Source organism: Homo sapiens, chromosome 6 (assembly GCF_000001405.40).
Source record: "Homo sapiens chromosome 6, GRCh38.p14 Primary Assembly".
NCBI classification, from domain to species: Eukaryota; Metazoa; Chordata; class Mammalia; order Primates; family Hominidae; genus Homo; species Homo sapiens.
Window position 1 is genome coordinate 29,723,434 of NC_000006.12, and position 27,028 is coordinate 29,750,461.

Consider the following 27,028-nt stretch of genomic DNA (forward strand, 5'->3'; position numbering starts at 1 on the left):
ATATTTTTCCCAGACGCGGAGGTTGGGGTCATGGCGCCCCGAAGCCTCCTCCTGCTGCTCTCAGGGGCCCTGGCCCTGACCGATACTTGGGCGGGTGAGTGCGGGGTCCAGAGAGAAACGGCCTCTGTGGGGAGGAGTGAGGGGCCCGCCCGGTGGGGGCGCAGGACTCAGGGAGCCGCCTCCGGAGGAGGGTCTGGCGGGTCTCAGCCCCTCCTCGCCCCCAGGCTCCCACTCCTTGAGGTATTTCAGCACCGCTGTGTCGCGGCCCGGCCGCGGGGAGCCCCGCTACATCGCCGTGGAGTACGTAGACGACACGCAATTCCTGCGGTTCGACAGCGACGCCGCGATTCCGAGGATGGAGCCGCGGGAGCCGTGGGTGGAGCAAGAGGGGCCGCAGTATTGGGAGTGGACCACAGGGTACGCCAAGGCCAACGCACAGACTGACCGAGTGGCCCTGAGGAACCTGCTCCGCCGCTACAACCAGAGCGAGGCTGGTGAGTGAACCCGGCCGGGGGCGCAGGTCACGACCACCCCCCATCCGCCACGGACCGCCCGGGTCCCTCAGAGTCTCCGGATCCGAAATCTACCCCGAGGCAGCGGGACCCGCCCAGACCCTCCACCCGGGAGAGTCCCAGGCGCCTTTACCCAGGTTCATTTTCAGTTTAGGCCAAAATCCCCGCGGGTTGGGCGGGGAGGGGGCGGGGCTAGCTGGGCGGGGCTGACTGCGGGGACCGGCTAGGGTCTCACACCCTCCAGGGAATGAATGGCTGCGACATGGGGCCCGACGGACGCCTCCTCCGCGGGTATCACCAGCACGCGTACGACGGCAAGGATTACATCTCCCTGAACGAGGACCTGCGCTCCTGGACCGCGGCGGACACCGTGGCTCAGATCACCCAGCGCTTCTATGAGGCAGAGGAATATGCAGAGGAGTTCAGGACCTACCTGGAGGGCGAGTGCCTGGAGTTGCTCCGCAGATACTTGGAGAATGGGAAGGAGACGCTACAGCGCGCAGGTACCAGGGGCCATGGGCGCCTTCCCTATCTCCTGTAGATCTCTTGGGATGGCCTCGCACAAGGTTGGGAGGAAAGTGGACCCAATGCTAGGATATCGCCCTCCCTCTAGTCCTGAGTAGGAAGAATCTTCCTGGCTTTCGAGATCCGGTACCAGAGAGTGACTGTGAGAGTCCGCCCTGCTCTCTGGGACAATTAAGGGATGAAATTTCTGAGGGAATGGAGGGAAGACAGTCCCTGGAATACCGATCCGCGGTCCCCTTTGAGCCCTCCAACAGCCTTGGGCCCCGTGACTTTTCTCTCAAGTTTTGTTCTCTGCCTCACACTCAATGTGTTTGAGGCTCTGATTCCAGTCCCTCGGCCTCCACTTAGGTCAGGGCCAGAAGTCCCTGCTCCCCCCTCAGAGACTCTAACTTTCCAAGGAATAGGAGATTTTCCCAGGTGTCTGTGTCCAGGCTGGTGTCTGGGTTCTGTGCTCCCTTCCCCACCCCAGGTGTCCTGTCCATTCTCAGGTTGGTCACATGGGTGCTGCTGGGGTTTCCCATGAGGAGTGCAAAGTGCCTGAATTTTCTGACTCTTCTCAGATCCTCCAAAGGCACACGTTGCCCACCACCCCATCTCTGACCATGAGGCCACCCTGAGGTGCTGGGCCCTGGGCTTCTACCCTGCGGAGATCACGCTGACCTGGCAGCGGGATGGGGAGGAACAGACCCAGGACACAGAGCTTGTGGAGACCAGGCCTGCAGGGGATGGAACCTTCCAGAAGTGGGCCGCTGTGGTGGTGCCTCCTGGAGAGGAACAGAGATACACATGCCATGTGCAGCACGAGGGGCTGCCCCAGCCCCTCATCCTGAGATGGGGTAAGGAGGGAGATGGGTAAAGAGGGGAACGAGGGGTCATGTCTTTTCTCAGGGAAAGCAGGAGCCCTTCTGGAGCTCTTCAGCAGGGTCAGGGCTGAGGCCTGGAGATCAGGGCCCCTCACCTTCCCTTCCTTTCCCAGAGCAGTCTCCCCAGCCCACCATCCCCATCGTGGGCATCGTTGCTGGCCTTGTTGTCCTTGGAGCTGTGGTCACTGGAGCTGTGGTCGCTGCTGTGATGTGGAGGAAGAAGAGCTCAGGTAGGAAGGGGTGAGGAGTGGAGTCTGAGTTTTCTTGTCCCACTGGGGGTTGCAAGCCCCAAGTAGAAGTGTGCCCTGCCTCATTACTGGGAAGCACCATCCACACTCATGGGTCTACCCAGCCTGGGCCCTGTGTGCCAGCACCTACTCATTTGTAAAGCTCCTGTGAAAATGAAGGACAGATTCTTCACTTCGATGATTATGGTGGTGATGGGACCTGATCCCAGCAGTCACAAATCACAGGGGAAGGTCCCTGCTGATGACAGACCTCAGGAGGGCAGTTGGTCCAGGACCCACATCTGCTTTCTTCATATTTCTTGATCCTGCCCTGGATCTACAGTTACACTTTTCTGGAAACTTCTCTGGGATCAAAGACTAGGGGTTTGCTCTAGGACCTTATGGCCCTGCCTCCTTTCTGGCCTCTCACAGGACATTTTCTTCCCATAGATAGAAACAGAGGGAGCTACTCTCAGGCTGCAGGTAAGATGAAGGAGGCTGATCCCTGAGATTGTTGGGATATTGTGGTCAGGAGCCTATGAGGGAGCTCACCCACCCCACAGTTCCTCTAGCCACATCTGTGGGCTCTGACCAGGTCCTGTTTTTGTTCTACCCCAATCACTGACAGTGCCCAGGGCTCTGGGGTGTCTCTCACAGCTAATAAAGGTGACACTCCAGGGCAGGGGCCCTGATGTGAGTGGGGTGTTGGGGGGGAACAGAGGGGACTCAGCTGTGCTATTGGGTTTCTTTGACTTGGATGTCTTGAGCATGAAATGGGCTATTTAGAGTGTTACCTCTCACTGTGACTGATACGAATTTGTTCATGAATATTTTCTCTATAGTGTGAGACAGCTTCCTTGTGTGGGACTGAGAAGCAAGATATCAATGTAGCAGAATTGCACTTGTGCCTCACGAACATACATAAATTTTAAAAATAAAGAATAAAAATATATCTTTTTATAGATACAGGTAGATATGTTTTTATAGCATGCACGTAAATGTGTGTGTGTGTGTGTGTGTGTGAAGAGAAAGAGTGAATAGAGAGATTAAGATTCTTTTAATGGTGAAAAGATATACATATATTTGGAACTAGCCAGCTTGACTCAGTTTAGGTGATCCCAATTTTGGTGGCAACAACCAAAGCATCGTAGTCAGGAGCCAGTCGAACATATGCCTTCCTCTCTCCATCAGACTGAATCAGAGTGTTGACTTTGGCCACATCAATGTCACAAACTTCTTCACAGCCTGTTTGATCTGGTGCTTGTTGGCTTTAACATCCACAGTGAACACAAGTAGGCTGTTGTTTTCTATCTTCTTCACAGCCTACTCAGTGGTCAGCGGAAACTTGATGATAACATGGTGGTCAAGCTTATTTCTCCTGGGGGTGCTCTTCCAAGGATATTTGGGCTGCCTCCGGAGTCACAGTGTCTTGGGCCGCCGGAAGGTGGGTGACATGTGGATCTTGTTTTTTTTGTGGCTGTGGACATCTTTCAACACTGCCTTCTTGGCCTTGCAAAGCCTTCGCTTTGGCTTCGGCTTTAGGAGGGGCAGGAGCTTCCTTCTTCGTTCTTGGCACCATCTTATGAAAAGGGTCCAGATTAAGATTTTTGACTGAGTCATTCTAAAGTAAGTTGCAAGACCCATGATACTAGACCACTAAATACTTCATCACACACCTCCTAAGAATAAGAACCAACATTATCACACCAAAGAAAATAAATAATTCCATAATATTATTTAAAGTCCTTTTATGTTCAAATATCTCCACTTCTTTCAGTACATTTTTGTACCTATTTTTTATAGCTTGTTTTCTTAAAATGTCCACTCGTTGCCTTTGGTTATGTTTCTTTAATTACCTACAATCTATAACAATCAACCCATCTTTTTTCTTTTAGAATGGCATTACCTGTTTCAGAGATGAGGCCAAATACCTGTGGAATCTTCTCCACACTGAATTTATCATATTATTTCCCCTGATGCCTTTAACTTTTTTCCTCTAACTGCTATGCCTCCTAAGGACCTATGTAGCTCTGGGTTAAACATTTGGCAGCAATGTTTACAGGAGGAGCTGTGACCGCACATTCATCACATCAGGAGGCACACAAAGCCTAGGGTTACCAGGACTCTTTCTGACCCCATACAGCCAAATTTATCCTGACTTCCCAGAGATGCAGAACCATGGGCTGGGTGTTTAGTGGGTATGAGTGTGATATTCTGGCAATAGGAGGTTCTGCCACTCTCCCCATTCCTCACGAGCTTTAGTTCCCCATACCCTGAGGTTCTGAGCTCCAGACCTTCAACCATCAGGCCAGGCCCCTCCAGACCTAGACTCCCTTCCTGTCTTCTCCAGCCCCACTCTGCTTTGTATCTACTTCCGGATCACTTTCCCTCTACAGGCCCAGCTCCTGAGTGTCTCTACCTCTCAAACAAGTATTCTCATCCAGGAGCAATTTTCCCACCAGAGGACATTAGCTATGTCTGGAAAAATGTTTTGTTGCCATGACTGGAGTGAGGAGGAGGTGCTACCAGCATCTTGTGGGGAATGACCAGGGATGCTGAACATCCTGCAGTGCACAAGTCAGCCCAATCACCCACATAACAGATAATTATCCAGCCCCAATACCAAGATTGCCAAGGGTAAGGAGGCCTGCCAGGACTTTCTCTCCCTTGAGTACAAGCTTCCTTGAACTGAGGGACACCCTGAAGGAAAAGTGTGGTCCCACCCCAGTCATCTCTCCCTTCCCTGGAGCTCCATCTGTATGCCTGTAGTGCTTAGGCCTGTAACCTGGGGTCCAGGAACCCACCTTCCCATGAGACTGCATGCAGAAGTGATGATATGTGCACACATGACTTCATTACAGGGCATTGGATGTTGATATTCATCAGGTCAGCTGGGGCCCAAGACACTACTCTTCTGCCAACAGGCCGCAATCCTCTGCATTAGAGAGAGGGTAAAGATTGAGGGAGGCCCTAACTTCAAACCTTCTATCACTGCTAGTGAAGTGCCAAAAAGAAGTGCAAGGTCATCTGCCCTTGTAGGAACCACACAGGAAGGCAGAGTGTCCACCAATGTCAAATTCCATCAAAGAAATAATATTTTGACAAAAAATGCAAGTCACCTTTCTAAGTCCCAGACAGCAGCTCAAAATAAAAAGCATTAAACCCCTCAAATCTTAGACCAGGTGAAATTATTGAAGCTGCAGTAAGGTCTTGTGGGACCTGCAGTTAGAGAGAAGGGACAACTCAATTTGGGACTGCAGCAGAAACCCCTACATCATGGGGTTCCTGGAAGGGACCCTCTCCCTTCAGCGACGCATTGTGAGGCCATTTCTAGGTAAAAAGGTAGAATTTCCTTGGATTCCTGAGGTTTATTTTACACTTACTGCTTATTCTTTGACTTTATAGAAGCCAACTTCAGTTTGAACATCTTGCAATTAATTTTTTTTGGCTCTAAGTGGAGAATTTGAACTTGTTTCTGAAGAAAACCAGGGGCTCCTTATGTGAGCAAGCAACCCTCCCTGTGGCCCCCTTATGCAATAAACATAAGCCATTGTGAGCCAGCAAAATTTAAAGCAAGGAAAGCAGTAAACCCTCCATTTCAGCATGTTTCAGCCTGTCTAGTGATGTTCTAGTCTTGCCTCACTCTTAACATTTTAAAATTTATAATTTTATTTGATTTTGATTTAATAAGAATTCATATGTATTCATTTCTTTTGGGTTTGTCACCAAAAGCCTCCTCCAATCACCTGTGGAGTAAAGACAAGTAAATAAATGCATGGTGTTCCCATTTATCAGTGCTCACTGCATCTTACAAGTGTATCAGCCCCACTTCAGCTGATAGTACCAGGAAACCTTAATACCCACATACAAAATAATGATGTTGGACAAAATTCATAGCATCACCTTACACCATATTCAAAAATTAACTCAATTAACTCAGAATGGTTCAAGGAACTCAACTTAGGAGTTCAACCTATAAATCTTTTAGAAGAAAACATTGAAGAAAATCTTAGGAACATTGGATGTGGCAATGGCTTCTTGGCTGGTGAGCAAAAGCACAACCAATAAAAGAAAAACAATAAATTAGACTATCAAAATTTAAAAACCTTTTTTATATATCAAGGGACACTATTAAGAGAGTTAAAAGAAAATGCACAGAATGGGAGGAAATATTTGCCAATTATATACCTGATAAAGAATTAATATCCAGAATACATAAAGAACTATGACTTAACAACAGAAAAACAAACAATCTCATTCAAAAATGAGTGAACAACATGAATAGACAATTCTCCAAAGAAGATATACAAATGGGCAATAGGCACATGAAAATATGCTGAACTTCACTAGTCCAAGTGTTGGCGAAGATGTGGAGAAGTCACAACACTTGTACACTGCTGGTGAGAGTGTACAGTGGTACAGCGACCATGAAAAACAGTATGATGCTTCCTCAAGAAAGTAAAAACACAATTTCCATAGGAGCCAACAATTCCACTTTTGGGCATATACCCAAAAGAATTGAAAGCAGGAACTCACACAGATAATTGTACACTCATGCTCGTAGCAGCACTATTCCCAATGGCCAAAAGGTGGAAGCAACCGAGTGTCCATCGGAGGATGATTAGATAAACGACCCATGGTGCACATAGCATGGAATATTATTCAGCCTTAAAAGTGAATGAAATTCAGGTTGGATGAACCTTGAGAACACTATAAGTGAAATGAGCCAGAAACAAAAAGACAAATATAATATTTCACTTATGTGATGCAGCTAAAATAGGCAAATTCATAGAAACAGAGAGTAAAATAGAATTTACCAGAAATTGAGGGTAGGGAGAATGGGCAGCTTTGGTTTAATGGGTCCAGTTTCTGTTGGGATGATGAAAATGTTCTGGAAATGCATATTGGTGGTGGTTACACAACATTGTAAATGTGCTTTAGGCCACCGAATTGTACACTGAAAAAGTGGTTAGAAGGTAAATTACATGGTATGTATGTTTTACCACAATATTAACAAGTATATCAACACTAAATCCAATCACTTTTCACTCCTCTCCTGCCACCACCCGAGAGCCACCCTCTCAAGAACTGTAAACCAGAAGGGCTTTCCAGCTGGGCTGCCTGCTGCCTCTCATGCCCACTGTCCATTACTCACACAAAGGCAGAGTGAGCCTCTCAAACGAAAATTAGGACATATCCTATGAACACCTCAGCCCTTTTCTTTCCTAGGCACAATGAAACCTCAGTCTCTCACCGTTTCCTACAAGCCCCTCATCATAGGACCCCTGTGGCCTCATCCCGCCATTCTCAGCCCAGCTCACTCGTCTCCACTCACACCAGCCTTTTGTCACTGCTCCATCCTGTCTCTGCTACCTGCCCCTGCTGTGACTCCCACATGCACCTGCTCCCCGGGGGTCCACATGGCTCACTCCTCACACCATTCAAGTCTCTGTTCAAATGTCCCATGGTCAAGTTCTCAGAAATGTCATGCCCAGTTACCTTTTCTGAAATCTATTCCCTGCCATTCCCGCCACTCCCACCAATCTTCTAGCCTAGGTGTATTTTTTATCAGTGGCAATTATCACTGATACTGTGACAGATTCTATTTGTTTATTGTCTGTTGGTGTATCAGGGTTACCAAGACAGAAAGACCCAATAGAGTAGATGGATACATAGATAGATAGATAGATAGATAGATAGATAGATAGATAGATAGATAGACAAGAGGGGATTTATTAGTGGAAATGGCTCACATAGTTATGGAGGCTGATAAGATCCATGAGAGGCCACCTGCAAGCTGGAGAACCAAGGAAGACAGTAGCCTGGCTCAGTCCAAGGCCAAAGGCCTGAGGGGCCAGAGGAGGAGGTGGGAGGATAAAGGGTTGACTGGTGCAACACTCAAGAGTCCAAAGACCATACAACCTGGAGTTCTGATGTCCAAGGGCAGGAAAAGTGTCCCAGATTGAGAGAGAGAGAGAGAGAAAATTTGACTCCTTTCTGCTTTTTTGTTCTATCTGGGCCCCTAGGTGATTGGATTGTGGCTGCCCACAGCGAGAGAGGATTTTCCCCGCTCAGTCACTCACATGCCAATCCCTTCCAGAAACACCCTCGCAGGCACACCCAGAAATAATGTTATACCAGCTATCTAGGCATCCCTTAACCCAGTCAATATGACACCTAAAATTAACCATTACAGTCAGTATCACTGAAATGTATGTTCTTTGATAAAGGGATCTGGTCTGTTTCCTTACCATTGTTTCTCACCATCATAATCAGTAAATAGCTCTCAGTAAGTATTTGTTAAATGAATAAATATGTCAGTACAATCACAGTATGACAGTATAATAAGGCTTTAAAATGTTTAAAGCAGTCTCTGGTTTAATATTTATCACTTGAGTAGTCTATGAATTTATTTATTTTTGGAGACAAATTCTCACTCTGTAGCCCGGTCTGGAGGGCAGTGGCATGATCACAGCTCACTTCAGCCTCAACCTTCCAGGCTCGAACAATCTTCCCACCTCAAACACTGGGGTACCTAGGACTACAGGCTCATGCCACCATGCCCAGCTAATTTTTTTTTGTATTTTTTGTAGAGACAGGATTTTGCCATGTTGCCCAGGCTGGTCTTGAACTTCTGGGCTCAGACAATCCACCCTCCTTGGCCTTCCAATGTGTTGAGATTACAGGCTTGAGGCACCGCACCTGGCCTGAGTAGTCTATGAATTTTTAAAATCCCAACCACAGGAGAATCTTTATGTACAAACATGCTTGTCAAAATATTACCTACAAAAAGATAAGATGAAAGCAGATGGATCTAAAAGAACTCAGTTACATCACCTCCTTATCTGAGATGGGATGCAGCTTGTAAAAGTGTGTCAACTTTTTAAATTTAAAAATTTTTTTAGATGGAGTCTCATTCTGTCACCCAGGCTGGAGTACAGTGGCAGTGATCTCGGCTCACTGCAACATCTGCCTCCTGGGTTCAAGCAATTCTCCTGGCTCAGCATCCTGAGTAGCTGGGACTACAGGCACATGCCTAGACTCCTGGCTAATTTTTTGTATTTTTTAGTACAGATGGGGTTTCACCATGTTGGCCAGTCTGGTCTCGAATTCCTGACCTCAAGTGATCCACCCACCTCGGCCTCCCAAAGTGCTGGGATTATAGGCGTGAGCCACCATGCCGGCCAAAAAAGCATGTAAACTTTATACAGAGTTTACAACATGGAAAACTACTTGTAAAATAATACATTCAAAAAGCAACATTCAAGATAACCCATGACATATGAATGCAACCTTGTACAATAAAGATACCTATAAAAATATATACATAGAGAACAACAAAATGGGCCAGGCGCCTTGGCTCATTCCTGTAATCCCAGCACTTTGAGAAGCTGAGGCAGGTGGATCACTTGAGGTCGGGAGTTCGAGACCAGACTGGCCAATATGGCAAAACCCTGTCTCTACTAAAAATACAAAAAATTTGCTGGGCCTGGTGGCGCATGCGTGTAATCTCAGCTACTCAGGAGGCTGAGGCATGGAAATCACTTGAACCCGAGAGGCGGAGGTTGCAGTGAGCTGAGGTCGCACCACTGCACTCCAGCCTCAGTGACAAAGTGAAATTGTGTTTCAGAAACAAAAACGAAAACAAAAACAAACCACCACCAACAAAATGGAAATCAGCACCACGCAAAGGACAGCTCCAGGGACCAACAGTCACACTGAGTCCAGGAAGGTTCAACAATACAATAGCAGTGATATTTTTGAGGGGAGACCTAGGTGGTATTTCTTCTGTGTATTTTATTTTTTTTAATTCAAGTAGGCATTGATCTGTGTATTTTAAAGTCTTCTGTGATCAAATAGATTTTCACATTTCTAATATTCAAAATAAAGCATTTGAAGTAAAATAACAATGAAAAGTGGCTGAGTGCACACCTGTAGTCCCAGCTACTCAGGAGGCTGAGATGGGAGAATCACTTGAGCCCAGGATTTTGAGGCTGTCGTGTGCTATTATCACACCTGTGAATAGTCACTTCTCTCCAGCTTGGACAACATAGCAAGACCCCATCTAAAATAATAGTAATACAAAGAAGTTCAGATCTCCTTCCAACCTCAGCCTAAAGCAAATTTCTCATTTGAAATCCATAGGGCAGAAATGCCGATTATGGCACCTCCAGAGAGTAGAAAAATATTCTTCCTCCACTCCATGACTCATCCTTTGGTTACAGCGTTTAGCTGAGCAATGAAGTCAATGCTAAGAATACCATCAATTTATAAAATACTGATTATCTCATTTATAGACATAAAAATACTATAATTATATATATATTTATGTAAAATTACCATCACACCTAAGACAGCGAGATGGATTTTTCCCTTCCACAGATGAAAATATGAGTCCCTGAGAACATAAAATCTTCATTTGAGCTCACTGAAAATGTTGGCCTTGAGAATTAGGAGACACTCAGTCTCCTGCAGGCCCCCTGGGCATGAGCCACACCAGTGGAGGCCACACAACAGCAGGAAGAGCAACTGAGAACCCTGGAAGGTTCACACTTGTAGAGGGTGCACATCCAGTGAAATGCAGTTGATGGATGGGCCAAGGTAATAATCCAGCTCCTTCCTTCAGCTGGGGGAGGCAGATGGGTGAGTCAGCTACGCATGAGGTGTATGGTGTTCCTAGAGCTATTGTTAGTTCCTCTGCTGTGAACTCCACCCCGGGCATACAAAAATTATATACTCACTGGTAAGCAGGATCCTTTTTAGGAAAGCAAATGACTTTCCTAACATAAGGTCAAACATTTCCCTCCAAATGAATCATCCTAGTTGGATAATCTCTTCACTCCCACTGAAATTGCCCCAGAGTTGCACCTGAGCATTTGGATCCAAGACAGAAAGTCATTTTGGGGGTTGGGTCTGGCTGATCTGGGAGTGTTGTGAAGAAAGGCTTTCTACTTACAGAAGAACAAGGGTGAGCTCTGAGTAGGAGATGACATCCTGAGGGGGAAAGACAGATGGGCAGATGCTCAAGCAAACTCAGGAGTTTACCATATAAAAGATTTTGGAATCTATTCTTCAGCCTCTTTTTTACTGTGATACAATATACATGAACACAAAATTTACCACTGTACCCATTGTACAATAGGTGTACAATGCAGTGACAATTAGTAGGTTCGCAATGTTATGTAGCCATCATCACTCTCTAGTTCCAGAGTATTTCATCACCTCAGGGGAAACTCTGCACCATTAAGCAGTCACCCTCCATTTCCTCCTGCCACCAGACCCTGTCACCACAAGTCTGCTTTCTTTCTCTATAGATTGGTCTCTTCTGAAGATTTCACAAAAATGGGTTCATGAAATATGTATCCTTTTGTAGCTGATTTCCTTCACTTATCATGTTTTTGAGATTCAGCAATGTTGTAGCATGTATCAGTATTTCATTCCTTTTATGGCTAAATCATATTCCATTGTAGAAATACACTACATGTTGTTTATTCATTCATTAGTCAATGGGCATTTTCTTTTAAACCAAATAGGAAAAACAAAGGAAGAATTAAACACCAAAAATATACATGTTACTACTAGCTTTTATAGGACTACTATATATAGTACTATATATATATGCACACACACACACACACACACACACATATAAACACCAAAAATATACATATTACTACTAGCTTTTATAGTATGACTACTATATATAGTACTATATATATAATTTCATAGTAGTACTATATATAGTTATATATATGTAGTACTATGTATAGTCATATATATGTATATATATGTATATATATGTGTGTATATATATATATTTATATATATATAAAATCCATTATTTCTGAAGGAGAGTTTTTCCAGACACACAATTCCTGCATGACAGTCTTTTTTTTTCTGACCTCTAAATTTGTCAACATTCCAATGCCTTCTGAACTCTATGGTTTCTGAAGAAAACTGGGCTGCAATCTTATTGAGGATCCATTGAACCTGAAAAGTTCCTTCTCTGTTATTCATTTCAATATGCTCTGTTTGTCATTGGCTTTTGACAGGTTGATTATAATGTTCTCTTGGTGTGGACCTCTTTAAATTTAATTTTTTTTGCTGCTTAAAATTTGTCAAGTTTGTTGGATGAATAATGTTTTTCATCAAATTTGGAAGGTTTGGAGTTATTCTTTAAATAGTCATTCTTCTCCTTTCTCTCTCTCCTTTCTTTGAGGACTCCCAAAGTGCATGTGCTTGATGTTGTCTCACAGATCTTTAAAGTTCTGTTTATTTTTCTTCATAATTTTTTTTCTTTCTGCTACTGAACTAGAGAATTTCAATTGTCTTATCTTCAAGCTTGCTGATTCTCCATTCTGCATGGTGAAATTTGCTCTGGAGCCCCTCTAGTGAATTTTTCATTTCAGTTATTGCACTTTTCAGCTCCAAACTTTTTATCTGGTCTCTTTGTAAAATTTCTACCTTTTTATTGATGTTCTCTATTTGGGGAAACCTGCAACCACCATCTTCTGAAGCTCTGCCCATGTCAAGAGGTCTGTGCATACCTCTCTCTTCCATCCCCCAGTTTTCCAACTTTATTTTGCTCAAGTTCCTGACTGACCAAGCAACCCATGAGCCACTGCCCATGACTCATTCATTCATGCACTACTGGGGCATCATTTCACACCCTCCACCTTGCATGGGCCTTTTTGGGTTTTGATTCCTAGTTCCTGGCTCAACAGCCATTTCCAAAGCTGTTCTTGCGTTAGCTCCCAAGCCTACTGCTCTTGTTGTAGATTCTCCTCTTAATGTCTGAGTCACAGCATTTATTTCATAGATTTTTAATAATTGGACTAATTTTTTCCAATGCAGCATTTCTAAGGACTTTCAGTAATGGAGATTCTATATTAGCTTAGAGAGAATTGTTTCAAAACATCAGAAATGTATACTTGAATGAAGGACAACATGCATGGAGAAAGGTGGACAAACCATAAGTGGGCCGTGGATTTTCACAAAGTGAACACTCAGGTAAATAGCAGCCACATCAAGGAATAGCATTTCCAGCCTCCAGGAAACACCATTGGGTTCTACTTGGTCATAAATCACCCTCCCCAACCCTAGAGCAGACACTTTCTTGATTTCTAATATGATAGATTAGTTCTGTCAGTTCTGGACACAGTCACTGCCATGTCCCAGGTCTTGCTGTGTGTGGTCACTATCACTCCCGTGGCAGTCAGGTGCTCAGCTTTATAAATAGCTCACACTTCTTGTCTCTCCACTGTTGATAGACATTTGTGTTGTATTCAGAGTCTACAAATCGTGCTGCTATAAATAATATTTTCATATATTTTGGGACACAAATGCATGCATTTCTATTGGTATATAACAAAAAGTGGAATTGCTGGGTCATAGGTGATTAGAAACTTGGTTTAGTCTCTCAAAAAACAAGTTTCTACTGAATAGATAACTGGTGGAAGAGGGTAAATCTTTTATTTTAGAAATTATGCAGCTAGTATATGAAAAGAAATGAAAGACTGAGACTTTTGCAATTTGTAATGAATTAACAGATTTAGCCACTGAACAGCAATGGCAATTAACATCACAAAAAAGAAATAACTAGTATTGAATTCTTCCTCTTGATGAAAAACATGATATAGTACCATCAATCCTCATGGCAAAAAAAAAAAAAAAAAAAAAAACCCTGAATAGACGCAAACCTCTATAACAAACTACCAATTTACAGAAAATACAGGTCATAGAGATACATTAAACCACACCTTGGGGTGCAATCTGCAAAATGCAAAGGACAGGAAACTACCAGACAATATAAATTTCAAGCAGGAATCTATGGAATAAATGAGGATAAAAATATACTCTTAAAGGTAAAACTAAACTATAACTTTAGATGATAAAAATATAAAATTGTACAAAGAAGTGATGGCCATGTAAGCCAGGATGTGCTTTTATTTGAAGAAGAGAAGAGTTTATCATTGAGCTGGGGCAGTTGATGGGGCTTCTAGGTCAGCTGCCAAACTTCTCCCTCTCTCTGATGGTTAAAGGGTGTTTACTTTTGATTAAAGGGCACCATTTTTAGATCTTTTATCTTTTATGGTACCCGTGGGGTTTTTTATGACAAAAACACTAATAAAGAATAAAATAGTATGTGACATATGGTTCTTGTTCTGCATCAAGCCTCCTTCCCACCCTCCGCTCCAGACACTGAGCACCCAGAACTACTGGCAACCCCAGGATACTTGGCAGGGCTACCTTACATCTGGGTGTGTGTCCAGCTCACATTGCCAGAGGCAATGTCCAGGGTCTATTCTTTGAGGCCTAGATAAACCTGACAGGACACAGCTGAGGGAAAAGCCTGGCCCCACTCTGGAGGCTCTGGCCATCGGTGTAGAGGGGACAGGTCCTCACCTCTCCACAGGTGCAGTTACAGTCAGAGCTTCTTCTCTGCATGGGAGTGAGGCTTGGTCCTTCCCCCAAACACGGGGACAGTGATCTCTCCAGAAGTGGAGATGACACCATTCCTCCTCTAACATGGTCCAATCTCGTGCTTGTTCTGCTTTACAGGAAAGTTGACTCATACTGGTGTCCAGTGAAGAAACCCAGGCGCATAAGAGGGACAGTTGGATCTCAGGTTTGTGCTTGATCTGGAAAAGGAAGAGCAGAGACCACTAGGAGGCACCACTGCACTGCTCATGAGCCCAGGAGGTGGATGCCGGGGCTGAGCTCAGGGTGGAGAGATGTCATTGCTCATCCTCCAGGTTCCAGGTGAAAACCCACCTGCCCAGCCCATCTGGTTCTCCCTGGTTCTTCAATTCTAGGGAGGACTGTCTTCTTCTCACCTCCCCGGACGATGCTTCTTGACACAGGAAAGAGGATGTGCTGCTAGGGTCATCATGTCCTGGTTTATTGTGTTGTCAGTAGAATGAAATCAAAATACATACTTCATAAATAATAAAATAACCCATAATAAGTAAACATTTACAATTTACTCACACCATTGAGGTTTCCTCCAGGTGTGAGCACAGCTGCAGACACACCTTGTCGCTTCAGTCAGGACACAGGACAGAGTAAAATGGGAAGAAACCACAGTCACTGCAGAAAGGGCCCCCATGGAAGAGGCCTGGCAGGGAGGCCAGCTGCCCCAGGGCCACCATATTTAGAGATGACTTCCCCTTTCTAGGCAGGACTGGGATTTTAAAATTCTTTTTGTATTCATAGTTGTTCTGAAATTGCAGGATGATGAGACCCAGCACTGGTGAGTTATACTGTCTCTTTCTTCCCTATTAAATTCTGTGCCAAACAGCACCTTCATATATTTATCTCCTCTTCCTGGAGAGAATAAAAACAATGGAAAAATTGAACCATACAAACATACTTTAAATATGTGCTGTCAGAAGTAGCTACTAAAGGATTAATTCCACCAAAGTGAGGGAAGGTTTGAAAAGAAAAACATTGTATACCCATATTCAAAGCAGCATTATTCACGATAGCCAAGACAACACACACCAACACATGAATGAAGAAAATGTGGTATATATCGACAACGGAATATCATTCAGCCTTAAGAAGGAAACCTGGTCACAGGCTGCAACAGGGATAAACCTGAAGGACACTGCTAAGTAAAATAAGCCAATCACAAAGAAAACCCAATACTGCACATTTCCATTTATATGAGGTGTCTAAACTGAAAGTAGACTAATGGCTGCTAGGGGCTCGGTGAGGGGGATGGATGAATGTTTGTTCAATGGGCATAGAGTTTCAGTGTTGCAAGATGAAAAGTTCTAGAGATCTGTTGCACAACTATGTATTTACAGTTAATACTGTACTACTGTATACTTTAAAATAGTTAAGATACCAAATTTTACATAATGTAGTTTTTGGCCCAAGGAAAAGACTAATTAGCCCTGTTACTAATTTAGGGAAAAAGTACATGAATTCATTAAAAATATATTAGTATGCGCTTACCTTAGATACAGAAAACTATGAGACAAAAAGAGAGATCCCTGCTACCCCAGCTATCACCCATGAACCAGGAAAATCAGCACCTCCTGAAACTAGACAGAAAGGCTCACAGGCCCAGCCTTGACATGTTGAATCAGTCTGCATTTTGGCTGGAACCCAGGTGGCTCCACTGCATGTAAAGCACCTTCCCAGATAGTGATGGAGGGAGATCCTAGGACAGTGACTCTGCTCCACGGGGAGAAGCCTCCAGTCCAGATGGGAGCAGCCAGAAGGGCCCAGGAGGGACATTTCCAAGAAGATAAAATTAACAGAATGTCCAAAGTGTCCAACGTCTTGAAAGAATCATACAAACAAAAGAGATATCAAACTTAAATTAATGAGAGTTAATAAAATAAACAAAAACAAATGCAAGTATTAACTCCAAGAAGAACCAATGTTGTACAGGCAGTGAAAAGTAGTCCAGTTGACATATGAGAGGATTAGTCATGGTAAAAGAAACAAGAGATGGCTGAACTAAACATAATCACTATATAAATATACTGGGAAGAGTGAAAGAGAACAAGTACTCTTAACTGTTGCATCCACCATTGCGCTGTGCAACAATGGGTGCATCTGAAAAAAATCAAGCAATAATAATAAAGAAATGGTAGTTAGAGATACAGAAGTAAAGTCAAAAGAATCAGCTAAAAAACTTGAAAGTGGTTGGCCCCTAGAAAGGCAGAAATTGAGAAGAGGCAGAGAGGACTCTCATTTTTCTCAAGAGATTCTGCACAAATATTTGACTCTTTCAATTGTGCACAATTATAAATTTGATTAAAATAAAAACAAAAGCTTCAGTGAATATGCAAGTTTATGTCTAATGACAACCGCATTCAACAATGATATTTAAGGGTTAACTAAAATGTGAAAATACTTAAACATGAAATAGGCATGTATAAATGTGTTTTTGACACCAAACGTGAACACAAATGTGAAATAATACACCTGTAAACACATCTCTGGATAGATAGCCCACGATTGAATTCTCTACCCCACCTCCTTTACTGGTTGACCTGTGAACACAGGCAGGCAGTGGACCAGGACCCAACTAGGTTCCTTCATCCTCTTGCTTCTAGGCAGGCCTTGCATCCACTTTTGCTGCACAGAGGGCTCCCATCCCTGCCTTGGTCCGTTTCACAGGTGATCCCATAACTCTCCCTGCCACCACTGCCTTACCTGAGTGGAGCCGAGGCTACCCTGACCAAGAAGAGCACCACCCATCTGTGCCCCAAGGCCAGAAAGTTAAAAGGAACCTCACAACAGGGTCAGGAACTATCCCACCTCCCCATCTACCAATCAGTCTGAACTGATAATGGGAGATGCTGATACTTGCTTTACTCATCCTCATTCCCAGTTCATTTATTCTTCATTAATTCAGTCCAATCTCCCCAGGGGTCACTTAACCCCAGAAGCAGACTGATCTCTATTCTTCTTAATCAGGAAAGTCCAAAGCACTCCCTGTCCTCTCCCTCATATCAGACTTCAGCTCTGCATCTGCAAGATGCAGAGGTCCTCTGCAAGGCAGGTGTCTTCCCACAGGGTCAGCCCCTAAACACTGGCTGCAGATGTCCCCCTCCATCCCTTCCCAGCCCTTTCTGTGTTGCTGTGAATCTGTCCATCACCGAGAACTGGTGGGGAGATGTGGGGGAGGTGGGGAGATTTCTTTGTGCTGTGTCAAGGCATGAAGACAGACCTCTCCTTCTCTCTTGAACCTCATACTCTATCCCTTCCCAGACACTTGAAATAAAACACAGACCAGAAATGTCTACTTAAAGGGTAAATTTCTATAGTATAAAATTATGAAGACATAGTAGATATGAGGTAATGCATGAGAGTGTGACAGGGTGAGGGGACCTCAAGGTGCCAGGAAAGCTGGTCCTGGGCTCCCCAGAAGGAGCCGTAACCAGGACACTCACTCATAAATCTCATTTATAATAATAATACAATGACCGCATATGTAATATATTAAAATATAATCAAATGATAACAAAAATAATGTGGCACAGCTGCAAACCCCTCATATATACTAACGCTTTTCATCCACCCAACCACAAGAAATAAATGCTGTTAGTTTCCCCATTTCATAGATGAGGAAACTGAGGCACCAAGTGGGAAAGTGCTGGTGAGACCTGGGCAGGGAGTTGAATTCTGGCCATCTGGCTGCAGAGTGTAGCTGCCCTCAGTGGAGCCAGTAGACCCAGGAGTTGACACCAGAGACTGAAATCCCAGCTGTGCACTGCCCTGGTGGTCTCCTGTCCCAACCGGGCGTTGATCCGGGCCTTGCAGGCTCACGTGCTCTGCAGAAAATAGAGAAACCAATAAATGCTCCCCTGGGTGCAGAGTGCTGCTTTTTACTCCCTGAGGATTTCTCCCTCCTCAGTCACTCCAAAATCAGATTCACCCTTTCTCTGAGGGAAGATGATGCTCCCACATTTTTCTCCCTCCTATGGCACTTTTCCCAGCCCCTGCCAGTCCCCTCCCATGACTTCATGAAGATCAGCACTTGCCCTGTGCCCACTATGCACTCTGTAAGGACTGAAAGGGCCGCAGGACTAAATGACAAGACTCCAGAAGAAACTCAGTGCCCTCCCCTCCTCTCAAGCCTGGCCAGCTCGGACACAGTGGGAGGCCTCCCCAGAGAGAGGCCCTGGCTCCACGTACTTCCAGGCCTGGGCTGGGTCACACACAAGGCCTTTCTCTCCCTCTTTCCCCAGGCCCTCCTTTCCTGCAGAAGCACCTGCACACCAGGGCAGGCCCTGCCCACTGTGGGTTCCGCCCTCCACCTACAGCTCAGTGTTCCTCCCCTTCCAGTCCTGAGCAGGCAGCTCCTACCTGGAGAGCCCACCAGGAAGCCCAGCAGGCCTGTCAGGCCCAGGATGGAAACACGTGGCTGCCATGGGGTCTGCACCTGACCTGACCCTGGAGACCCCCTTGCTCAAGAAGGCTCTGCTTCCCTTGACACCCAGGTCCATGACCTGCACTTGGGATGCCCTGCTCCTGCCTGGTCCACTCATCCCTGGAAATCCAGCTCCACCCCAGGGCTGCTGCTTGGTGAGGCTGCAAGGCCTTCCTGTCTGGTTCCTAGCAGGGATTCCACCCAGGCCACTGCCCTCACACCCACAGAGGATCTTCTTCTTCTCCCTATGGAATAAGGGATTTCTTGAGACCCCTCAGCCTGAGGCTGCCTCCGCCCACTCTGCACCTGGGGATTGCCACAGCCACAGCCACCATCTCCCACATGGACCCTTCTAGAGAGAGAGTTTCAAATTTGAATTCCTGTTCCATTCAATATGCTTTACAGCATCGGTATTGGAGGAAATCCTATTAAGAATATCCAGCTGAAATTATGAACATCTTTATTGGACATCAACATTGAAAGCAGGAATTTTGAGAAATTAGCATGTGATTTTCACAACCTTTTTCTGGCCAATGCCCCAGTGACCTACAAGGAAACCTTTACTGCCCACAGGGAACCAGAACTGACAATTCCTCTACGGGAGATGCTGCAGGTGAGAGCAGGAGCAACCAGACCTGCACTGCCCCTGCTGTGGGTGCCCCAAAAAACATGGTCCTGGGGACTGTGTTCCTGGGGGCTAGACAAGGTAACACTTGGACATATGATGAAAATAGGGACCACAGCTGCCCTGACAAGGAGCTGGTTCCTGCTTCCCAAATGGCCCAGGGATGTCTGCTTATATACTCCTCCATAACATCTGCACAGAAACTCAGGGAGGCAGGGCCATGTGGTGGGAACCTCCAGTGATGCAGAGGACATGATACCCCCAAGACAGCTCCTGGAGGAGGCCCATGGGGAGCTGCAAAGTGGACAGAGATGGCTGTGTGCACTCAGGACCCTCCCTGTTACAAGGGGACCTCAAAGGGGCTGCACAGGCAGGCCTCCCAGTCTGGGCTTCGTGGGTCTTTTTCTTGGTGTCCTCCTGATGGCTGGAGAAACAGGAGAGAGGGATGCAGAGAGGAAGAGACTAGGGGCACCGCCTCTCCTCAGATTCCTCTCCAGTTTCTAGCCCCTCCCCAGATCACAGCCGCCTTTACTATTTACTCCCACTGAAGCCATGATCATCCAGGCCCTCAGCAATCAGCACGTGATTCTCAACTCACCCCACCTGGACGCACCGTGGTGAGCCCAAGAAACAAGAGAGACCAGGATGGGGACAGAGCAGGTGCCACAGCCCTCCCTGCTGCCCACTCCTCACCTGCAGCAGGAGGAGGCCACCGCTGGACATTTGAGGGCCGTGGCCCAGCCCTGGCTTGGGCAGGACTTAGGGGTGTAGATGGAGATGTGGCTCCCATTCCCCTCCCAAATACCCCAATGTCCATCCCCTGTTCCAGGACCTTGTTACCTACATGTCTATCTGTGCAGGAGCTATGAGGGGACCCTGCTGCCCAGAGAGGAGTCCTTCCATCTCCAGCCACTGCCCCGTTTTCTCACCTGGACTCTGCAGCTGATGTTGTCTTCTTCTTGCACCAAAGGACACAGAGAATACTACTACTACTACTAATACTAATAATAATGACAGTAGCAATAGCAGCATACAGAATGGCTGCCATTGACTCTGAAGCACCAGGGCCTTCTCTAAAAAAAGGGCCTTGTGACACACTGAGCACGCAAAGCCACAGCCGTCCCTGCTATCCCCACCCTGGCCTGACCTCCCTAGGTCGAAACCCTTGAGAGTTGCCCCAGGCTCACCAGAGGGCACAGGGTGAGTGCTGTGATTCCCTCTGTGTCCCATGTAGCAGGTGAACCTCTGCTCCTCTCCTCGGGGAATCCTGGTGGCCATGCAGGTCTGGTAGGTCCCATTCCCATTGGGCAGGACACCCCTAGACTGCTGGGCATCCTGGCTCAAAGATGCCTCATCCTGATGCCAGGTCAGAGAGATATTCCAGGGATAGAAGATGGAGGCCAGCACATCATGGTGACATTGCCTTCTAAGGCCCCACTGTGCATCTCATTCACTGTGGGGGTCATTGGAGACAAAAGGGCAGAGCCAGTGAGGCATGTGGCCAAGCCTTTCTCCCCTCTAAGGGAGATGCAGGGAACAGGACTGGTCCTCTCTATTGTTCTGACTCTCGCTGAAACCCACACTGACCCCAGACCTTCTGCAAATCGGTCCTTACCTGGGGTCCAATTCCCCTAGGCTTGCTGGAAGATGGGCCTCAGGACTGTGGCCTCACACTCTGGGACTCCGGCTTTGATGCTGAGGAGAGGGTTGTCAGGGGTGGGCTCCTGGGTCGTGGGGCTAGGAGGTAGCTCTCCAGGATGGGCAGGCTGGGAGGCAGATGAGGCAGCCCTGGCCTTGAGGCCTTCCTTTCCTGCCTAATGCCCACCCCAGGTTCAGGCTTCTATAGGAGGACCCACTACTTTCACAGTACCTGTTTTTCTGATACCTCCAGAATTTCAGATATCACCATAGCTTTTGCATGTAGTCTGCCTGCACAGGGCAATAGTGTGTCTTGGTCTGCATGGCATTTTCCTCCCAGAAATTTGTGACATTCATAGCCAAAGTCTGAGTTCTGGAGGACCGGGGCACTGTCCATTACTGAGTCTCCAGGTTGGGAGAGAGGAAGAGCTTCCCATATGTGTAGAAATGCCTAAAGCCCCTGGTGCTGCTGGCTTCCTGATCTCACAAACCCTAATCTCCTGGAGGGAATGCAAGGCTGCCTGCCCCTACCCAGCAGTGACTTCTCCATTCCAGTCCAAGTGAGGAACTCGGACCAGGAAGGACCCCTCCCTGGCCCTCTTCCATCCCTCCCTGTGTGGGCTGAGCCCCGCTGAGCACCATTCCTCACCCCTACTCACAGCCAAATCCAGTGGGAAGAGACAGGTCCTGCTCTCTGCCCCCAACTCTCCTGGAAAAGGCCTCTCCCATTACTCTTGCCCACTGCCCACTCTCACCTCCTTTCTGGCCCTTGATATGAGCCAGGGTCCTCCTGAGCTCCTGCCCATTCTCTGTCAAGTCTTCAGTCTCTGTGTCCCAGGTCTCAGCTCCCAGGACTGCTTCTGCCCACTGTCCCCGGGGCCCTGCCCTGCCTTTCTGCCTGTCACAGAGCAGGAAGAGCTGACCATCCAGATGTCCCTCAGCGAGAAACCCTGACTGCACAGATCCATCCTGGGACAGCACCGTGAGGTTGTAACAAAGACTGTGGGGCTCTGGGGAAGAGGAAATCACAGATGAAACTTCTTCCTGGAAGTAACTTCACATCAATGTTTAACACACAGGTCTGCTGTCCCGACCTTCCTGAGGAGGCAGGAAATGCACACGGGCAAAGGGACAAGAATGAGGATTTCAGACGCAAGGAAAACTGGGAAGGTGGGAGGATAGAGGAGGGGACTGAGGAACAGAAGAAGGGGGAATGGGGATGGCAAACTTGTAGGCCAGGTGCCAGGGCAGGGCAGCCACAGGCCCCCTCAGGATATAGGGAGGAGGCCAATGGAAGGGGCTGCCCTGCAGGTTCAAGGGAGGAGCATGAAGGCAGTGGTGGAAGGAAGGTCTTGCCAGAGGGGAGAGCAGAAACTGTAAGGGACCCAGGCTCAGAGGGACCCATGACCACCATGGCTGTGGTGCACAGGTGAGGGTGAGATGGAGGCAAGGTCCACTGCCTTTGAGGAAGGCTCAACATGGACAAGGTGGGGGCAAGGGAGACTTGGCTGTGAGGCAGGAGGGGCAGGTAGGCTGTGGTGCCAGAGACGTTTTCTACGAGGTCCGTATCCCAGGGAGAAGCAATGGTGTGGGCTTCAGAGTGGCATGGCAATGCCCCAAGTAGGGAGGTGGATGGACCAGTTGGTGTCCCCTGGGGTGGGCTGGTGGCAAGGGTCTTAAAGAGTCAGTGCATCTTTTCAACAAATGGTGCTAGGAAAACCAGATGTTCACATGCCAAAAAAAAAAAAAATGAAGTTGGATCCCTAACTTACACCACATATGAAAATTAACTAAGAAAAACATCAAAGACCTAAACTCAAGAACTAAAACTGAAAAACTCTTACAATAAAACATAGGGAATTATCTTCATGCCATAGAATTTGATAGCACTTTCTTGGATATAACACCAAAGATACAACAACAAAGAAAAAATTGATAAATTGGACTCATCAAAATAAAAAAGTTCATTAAAAACACAATAAACACAGTGAAAAAGCAACCCCCAGAATGAAAGAAAATATTTGCAAATCATATATATCTGATAAGAGATTAATATCCAGAATACATAAAGAACTCCTACAACTCAAACAGGAGACATTCAACTAATACAAAAGTAGGCAAAGGACTTGCATAGCCAATTCCCCAAACAAGATGTACAAATGGCCAACAGACACATGAAAAGACGCTCAGCATCAGCAGTCATTAGGGAAATGCAAATCAAAACCACAATGAACTATTACTTTACACCAATTAGTTTGGCTATTATCAAACACACACACACACACACACACACACACACACAGAAATATCAAGTTTGGCAAACAGGTTGCGAAACTGGAACCTTTGTGTAATGCATTTGGAAATACAAAATAGGGCACCTGTTATGGAAAACAGTGTGTTGATTCCTCCAAAAATTAAAAAATGAATTACCAGCTAGGTGTGGTGGCTCACGCCTGTAATCCCAGCACTTCGGGAGGCTTAGGCAGGCAGATCACGAGGTCAGGAGATTGAGACCATCCCGGTCAACATGGTGAAACCCAGTCTCTATTAAAATACAAAATATTAGCCGGGTGTGGTGGTGGGCACTTGTAATCCCAGCTACTTAGGAGGCTAAGGCAGGGGAATCACTTGAATCCGGGAGGCGGAGCTTGCAGTGAGCCGAGACCGCGCCACTGCACTCCAACTTTGGCGACAGAGGGAGGCGCCGTCTAAAAAAAAAAAAAAAAAAAAAAAAAAAAAGAAGCAGTTGGACACACGGCCTGTGTTGGGTCTGGGTAGAGGAGGACAGATGTGCAGGGCAAGGACTGGAGGATGGGGTGAGCATGGTGTGGGGGTGACCCTGGGGGAACTTTGGTTAGGGTGAGGACAGGAGGGGAGGGTGCTCTGAGTGAGGGTGGGGCTTGGGAAAGATGAGAACTTGCTGAGGGCCCAAGGCAGCTGGGCAAGAGGTAGGAGCAGCACAAGGTCCCAAGGCGGAGAGGGGCGGAGGGACCAGGGAGGGATGGTCCAGCACCCGTGGGCTGGAGTGGGGGGTCCTCAAGAGGGTGGGGCTGAGGATGAAGGAGTAGGGAAGGGGCCACCGTGAGGCAGGGCCCAGAGCAGGCACCTGCACTAGAGGGGAGGGGGCATCTGCCCTGCCCTGTGCCCTGCCTAAGGCCCAACCAACATTAGCACTAGGGCTCCCCTTGGGTGGTCTAGAGGGGAGTGGGACGGAGGGAAGACCCTGGGACAAAAGGCGGCACCAGAGAGTTAGGGTCAGGGAGAGTTGGGAGTGGGAGGCATAGGGGCAGCCCTGGGTTAAGGCTGCTTCTAGGAAAGGCCCATAAGGGAGGCAGGAGGGACCTGCGGTGGCGGGGGCAGGGGATGAGGCAGAGGACATCCTAGAAATGTATCAGAGAACTGCAGATAGGAAGGGGTAACAGGGAGCTGGGAGGGCAACAGGACCCAAGGTGCCCTGAGGGCAGGGGAGGAGGTGGGAGGGAATCTGGTGTCCTTAGATCACTGGAGTTAATAGTAGCAGGGAAGGATGCAAGACAAGAGAGGATCCCCGGCAGCGGGAGGCCAGGGGAGAATGAGCTGGGGATGAGAGAAGTCGCAGGAAGAATCCTCTGCCCGGAGCCTGCAGACTCCAACCCCTCAGCGTGAGGGTCAGGAGCCCCACAGTCCCCACAGCAGCAGGAAGCACTAGCTCCGGGTCCCGAGAAAGGAGGGCCCCAACTCCAGGAGATGCGGCCCAGGAGCTGAGAACACGTCGGCTCCGGGAGAGGACAGGGCTTCAGGGACCTTAGGGCCGCCCCCAGCACCGGGGGAGGTGGCTGCCTCAGCGGCCGCGCTGGAAGGGCCCTCGAATGCCATTCACAGGAGCAGCCCAGGAACCCAGGGGCCTCAGAAAGACTGGTTTGTCCGAAAAGTGAGAGGAGACGGAGGAGAGGAGAGGAGAGAAAGTGCAGGACAAGACCAGAAAATGCAGGGGGCGGGTGATGAGCGATCCCGAGGAGGACTGAAAAGAGACGTGGAAGCAGGGTTGAGGTGTGGCGGGAACGGGCCGCGTCCACTCCCCGCACCCCCGACAGCGCACCTGAGCCCCGCCTCGGCCGCACAGCGCTCGCCGCTACCCACCCGGACCCCCAGAAACGCCCCGCCGCTGCCGCTCCGCCGAGGACCGCCAGGAACCCCACTTACCAGCAGCAGCTCCCTGGGGTGCAAAAAGGGCAGTGCGGATCAGGAACAGCAGGACTAGGCTCATCTCCATGGCCCAGACTTTGCTTTCCTCGCAGTGGCTCAAGCGGCTGCCAACCCAGCGGAGCCGCGAAGGCCCACCAGAAATTTCCTGTCACCTGGCCCCACCCCAGCGACCGCTCACCCAATGAAAACTGGCGCCCGCAGCTTAGGGCCAATCACGAGCTGGGAGGGCGGGGCCACACTCAGAAGGGGAAGGTTCCAGCGGTCAGGAGACCTGGAGAACTTTGGCTGGCGGGACCTGGAGCCCAGAAAAGGGGGAGCGCGCGGAAGCGCCGCCAAATGCGGGGACTGGCTCCGAGCAGCTGAGAGTACAGCCCCAACCGCATGAGCACGACCTGGGCCCTGCCGCCCTCCCTGTATTGCGACCACCCCATCCCCGCACCCCCACCCCTAGGATAGCGTGCCTCACCAAGACCGTTTCGCCAGCCACCCCATCAAGCTGACTGTCATTCGCTTGTTCTTTCCAGGACACACTTACAGAAGAGACGAGGCCTGGTTATTCTTCCAACACACTCCCCTCAGCCGCGCACAGCGTTACTGGCTATGTGGCCAGTGACCAGATTTGCAGACCTGTTTCCAGACCTCAGCTACCTCTGTTTCTGTAGCACCTGCCCCAGCTGATCCGCTAAGACGACAAATCTCTTAGACGTTTCAGCTTTACAATCTCCTTCTCCTCCCTTTTACTCAAAGCTAGGTCCCCTTTCTTATGGTCACTTCCTGTAAGTGTGTGAGGTCTCCCGGGGCTGCCTCTCTATTCAGCCCCTGGGTGATCAAAAGGCCAAGGAGGCAGCTTGCCAGTGTCCACTCCAACACCAAGCTCTCCCCAGACTCCCTTTTCCAGCCTGCTTTAGGACATCTGTACCTCTGAGACCATAGTAGCTTCCAATGTGACAGGTCTACAAGGACACTCTACACGTCTCGCATGACATCATCCTCTCTTCCTCCCCTGTTTCTCTTTCCGTGGTGCCTTCTGATTTCCCCCTTTTCCTTCTCAAGTACTCAAAGCTCCTCCAACCCTATTTTGATCCCACAGCCACTACTTTAGTCTCGGCTTTCAGCCTAGATCACTGCACAAGATTCAGCCTAGATCACTGTACAGGCTTCCTAAACACTGTGACTGTCCCAGCTATAGTCAGAGTGCTCTAAGACCCCCACAGCACCCCATCTGCTGAATGTCACACGTGAGGTCTCTACCATGGAAGCCACAGCTGCCACAACCTCCTGTCTGTCACCACCCCCATTTTTCTGGTGACATCCCTCTTTCCAGTGTTGCAGTAAAAGTGGGCTCCCCAATCTCCTTGCCCTGTCCCACCGGGATGCCACTGCCTAAGCAGTCTCCTGCTTCCAGATTACTGTCGCTTCTGCCTCTGAGCCCATTAGACCGTGTCACATCCTTAAATCTTCCCAATTAGGCTGGTCAGAGTGTAGTGGTGTTTACAACTAATTGATCACAACCAATTACAGATTTCTTTTTTCCTTCTCCGCTCCCACTGCTTTACTTG

At 47.7% G+C, this 27,028-nt stretch overlaps 1 protein-coding gene, 1 long non-coding RNA gene and 3 pseudogenes across 15 annotated transcripts, besides 2 other annotated features; 2 read left to right on the forward strand and 3 right to left on the reverse strand.

Moving 5' to 3' along the window:
* Window positions 1-15,099, forward strand: HLA-F (major histocompatibility complex, class I, F). 13 transcript variants are annotated; one of them, XR_001743374.2, is made up of 9 exons: window positions 1-94; window positions 225-494; window positions 740-1,015; window positions 1,598-1,873; window positions 2,014-2,130; window positions 2,578-2,610; window positions 3,450-3,571; window positions 12,982-13,137; window positions 14,689-15,099. XR_001743374.2 is itself a non-coding variant. In XM_017010813.2 (8 exons), the coding sequence occupies exons 1-8, from the start codon at window positions 31-33 to the stop codon at window positions 14,695-14,697; spliced, it is 1,167 nt and encodes a 388-aa protein (XP_016866302.1). In that variant the 5' UTR covers window positions 1-30; the 3' UTR covers window positions 14,698-15,099. The 13 variants fall into 13 exon arrangements, 11 of the variants coding, with proteins under 11 accessions (XP_016866302.1, XP_047274674.1, XP_016866299.1 ...); XR_001743373.2 differs by lacking the exon at window positions 12,982-13,137 and having other exon boundaries at window positions 14,689-14,755; window positions 14,943-15,099; XM_017010813.2 differs by lacking the exon at window positions 12,982-13,137.
* Window positions 560-1,394: an enhancer, noted in NCBI's record as "H3K27ac-H3K4me1 hESC enhancer chr6:29691770-29692604 (GRCh37/hg19 assembly coordinates)". NCBI's record gives its function as "activates a minimal SCP1, AML or CMV promoter by ChIP-STARR-seq in naive and primed H9 embryonic stem cells {active_cell/tissue: H9 hESC(naive and primed)}" and the evidence as "EXISTENCE:reporter gene assay evidence [ECO:0000049][PMID:30033119]".
* RPL23AP1 (ribosomal protein L23a pseudogene 1) lies at window positions 3,164-3,721 on the reverse strand (annotated as a pseudogene).
* Window positions 3,168-25,616, reverse strand: HLA-F-AS1 (HLA-F antisense RNA 1). Of its 2 annotated transcripts, NR_026972.1 has the most exons (6): window positions 25,467-25,616; window positions 23,715-23,992; window positions 15,118-15,453; window positions 14,533-15,003; window positions 4,932-5,062; window positions 3,168-3,706 (listed from the first exon to the last, which is right to left on the reverse strand). It is a non-coding gene; the product is annotated as an HLA-F antisense RNA 1 (long non-coding RNA). The 2 variants fall into 2 exon arrangements; NR_026973.1 differs by lacking the exons at window positions 4,932-5,062; window positions 14,533-15,003; window positions 15,118-15,453; window positions 23,715-23,992.
* On the reverse strand, window positions 18,123-22,351 carry MICE (MHC class I polypeptide-related sequence E (pseudogene); annotated as a pseudogene).
* On the forward strand, window positions 24,821-25,215 carry HCG9P5 (HLA complex group 9 pseudogene 5; annotated as a pseudogene).
* Window positions 24,915-25,422: an enhancer, noted in NCBI's record as "H3K4me1 hESC enhancer chr6:29716125-29716632 (GRCh37/hg19 assembly coordinates)". NCBI's record gives its function as "activates a minimal SCP1, AML or CMV promoter by ChIP-STARR-seq in primed H9 embryonic stem cells {active_cell/tissue: H9 hESC(primed)}" and the evidence as "EXISTENCE:reporter gene assay evidence [ECO:0000049][PMID:30033119]".
* Window positions 25,617-27,028: the final 1,412 nt, after the last annotated feature.

Excerpts from the sequence above, each read along its gene's own strand:
- HLA-F (XM_047418718.1), top strand. The coding sequence starts at position 31 with ATGGCGCCCCGAAGCCTCCTCCTGCTGCTCTCAGGGGCCCTGGCCCTG. Across the intron at positions 1,874-2,013 it reads GCCCCTCATCCTGAGATGGG|AGCAGTCTCCCCAGCCCACC; the intron begins GTAAGGAGGGAG and ends TTCCTTTCCCAG. Across the intron at positions 2,611-3,449 it reads GAGCTACTCTCAGGCTGCAG|CCTACTCAGTGGTCAGCGGA; the intron begins GTAAGATGAAGG and ends TCTTCTTCACAG.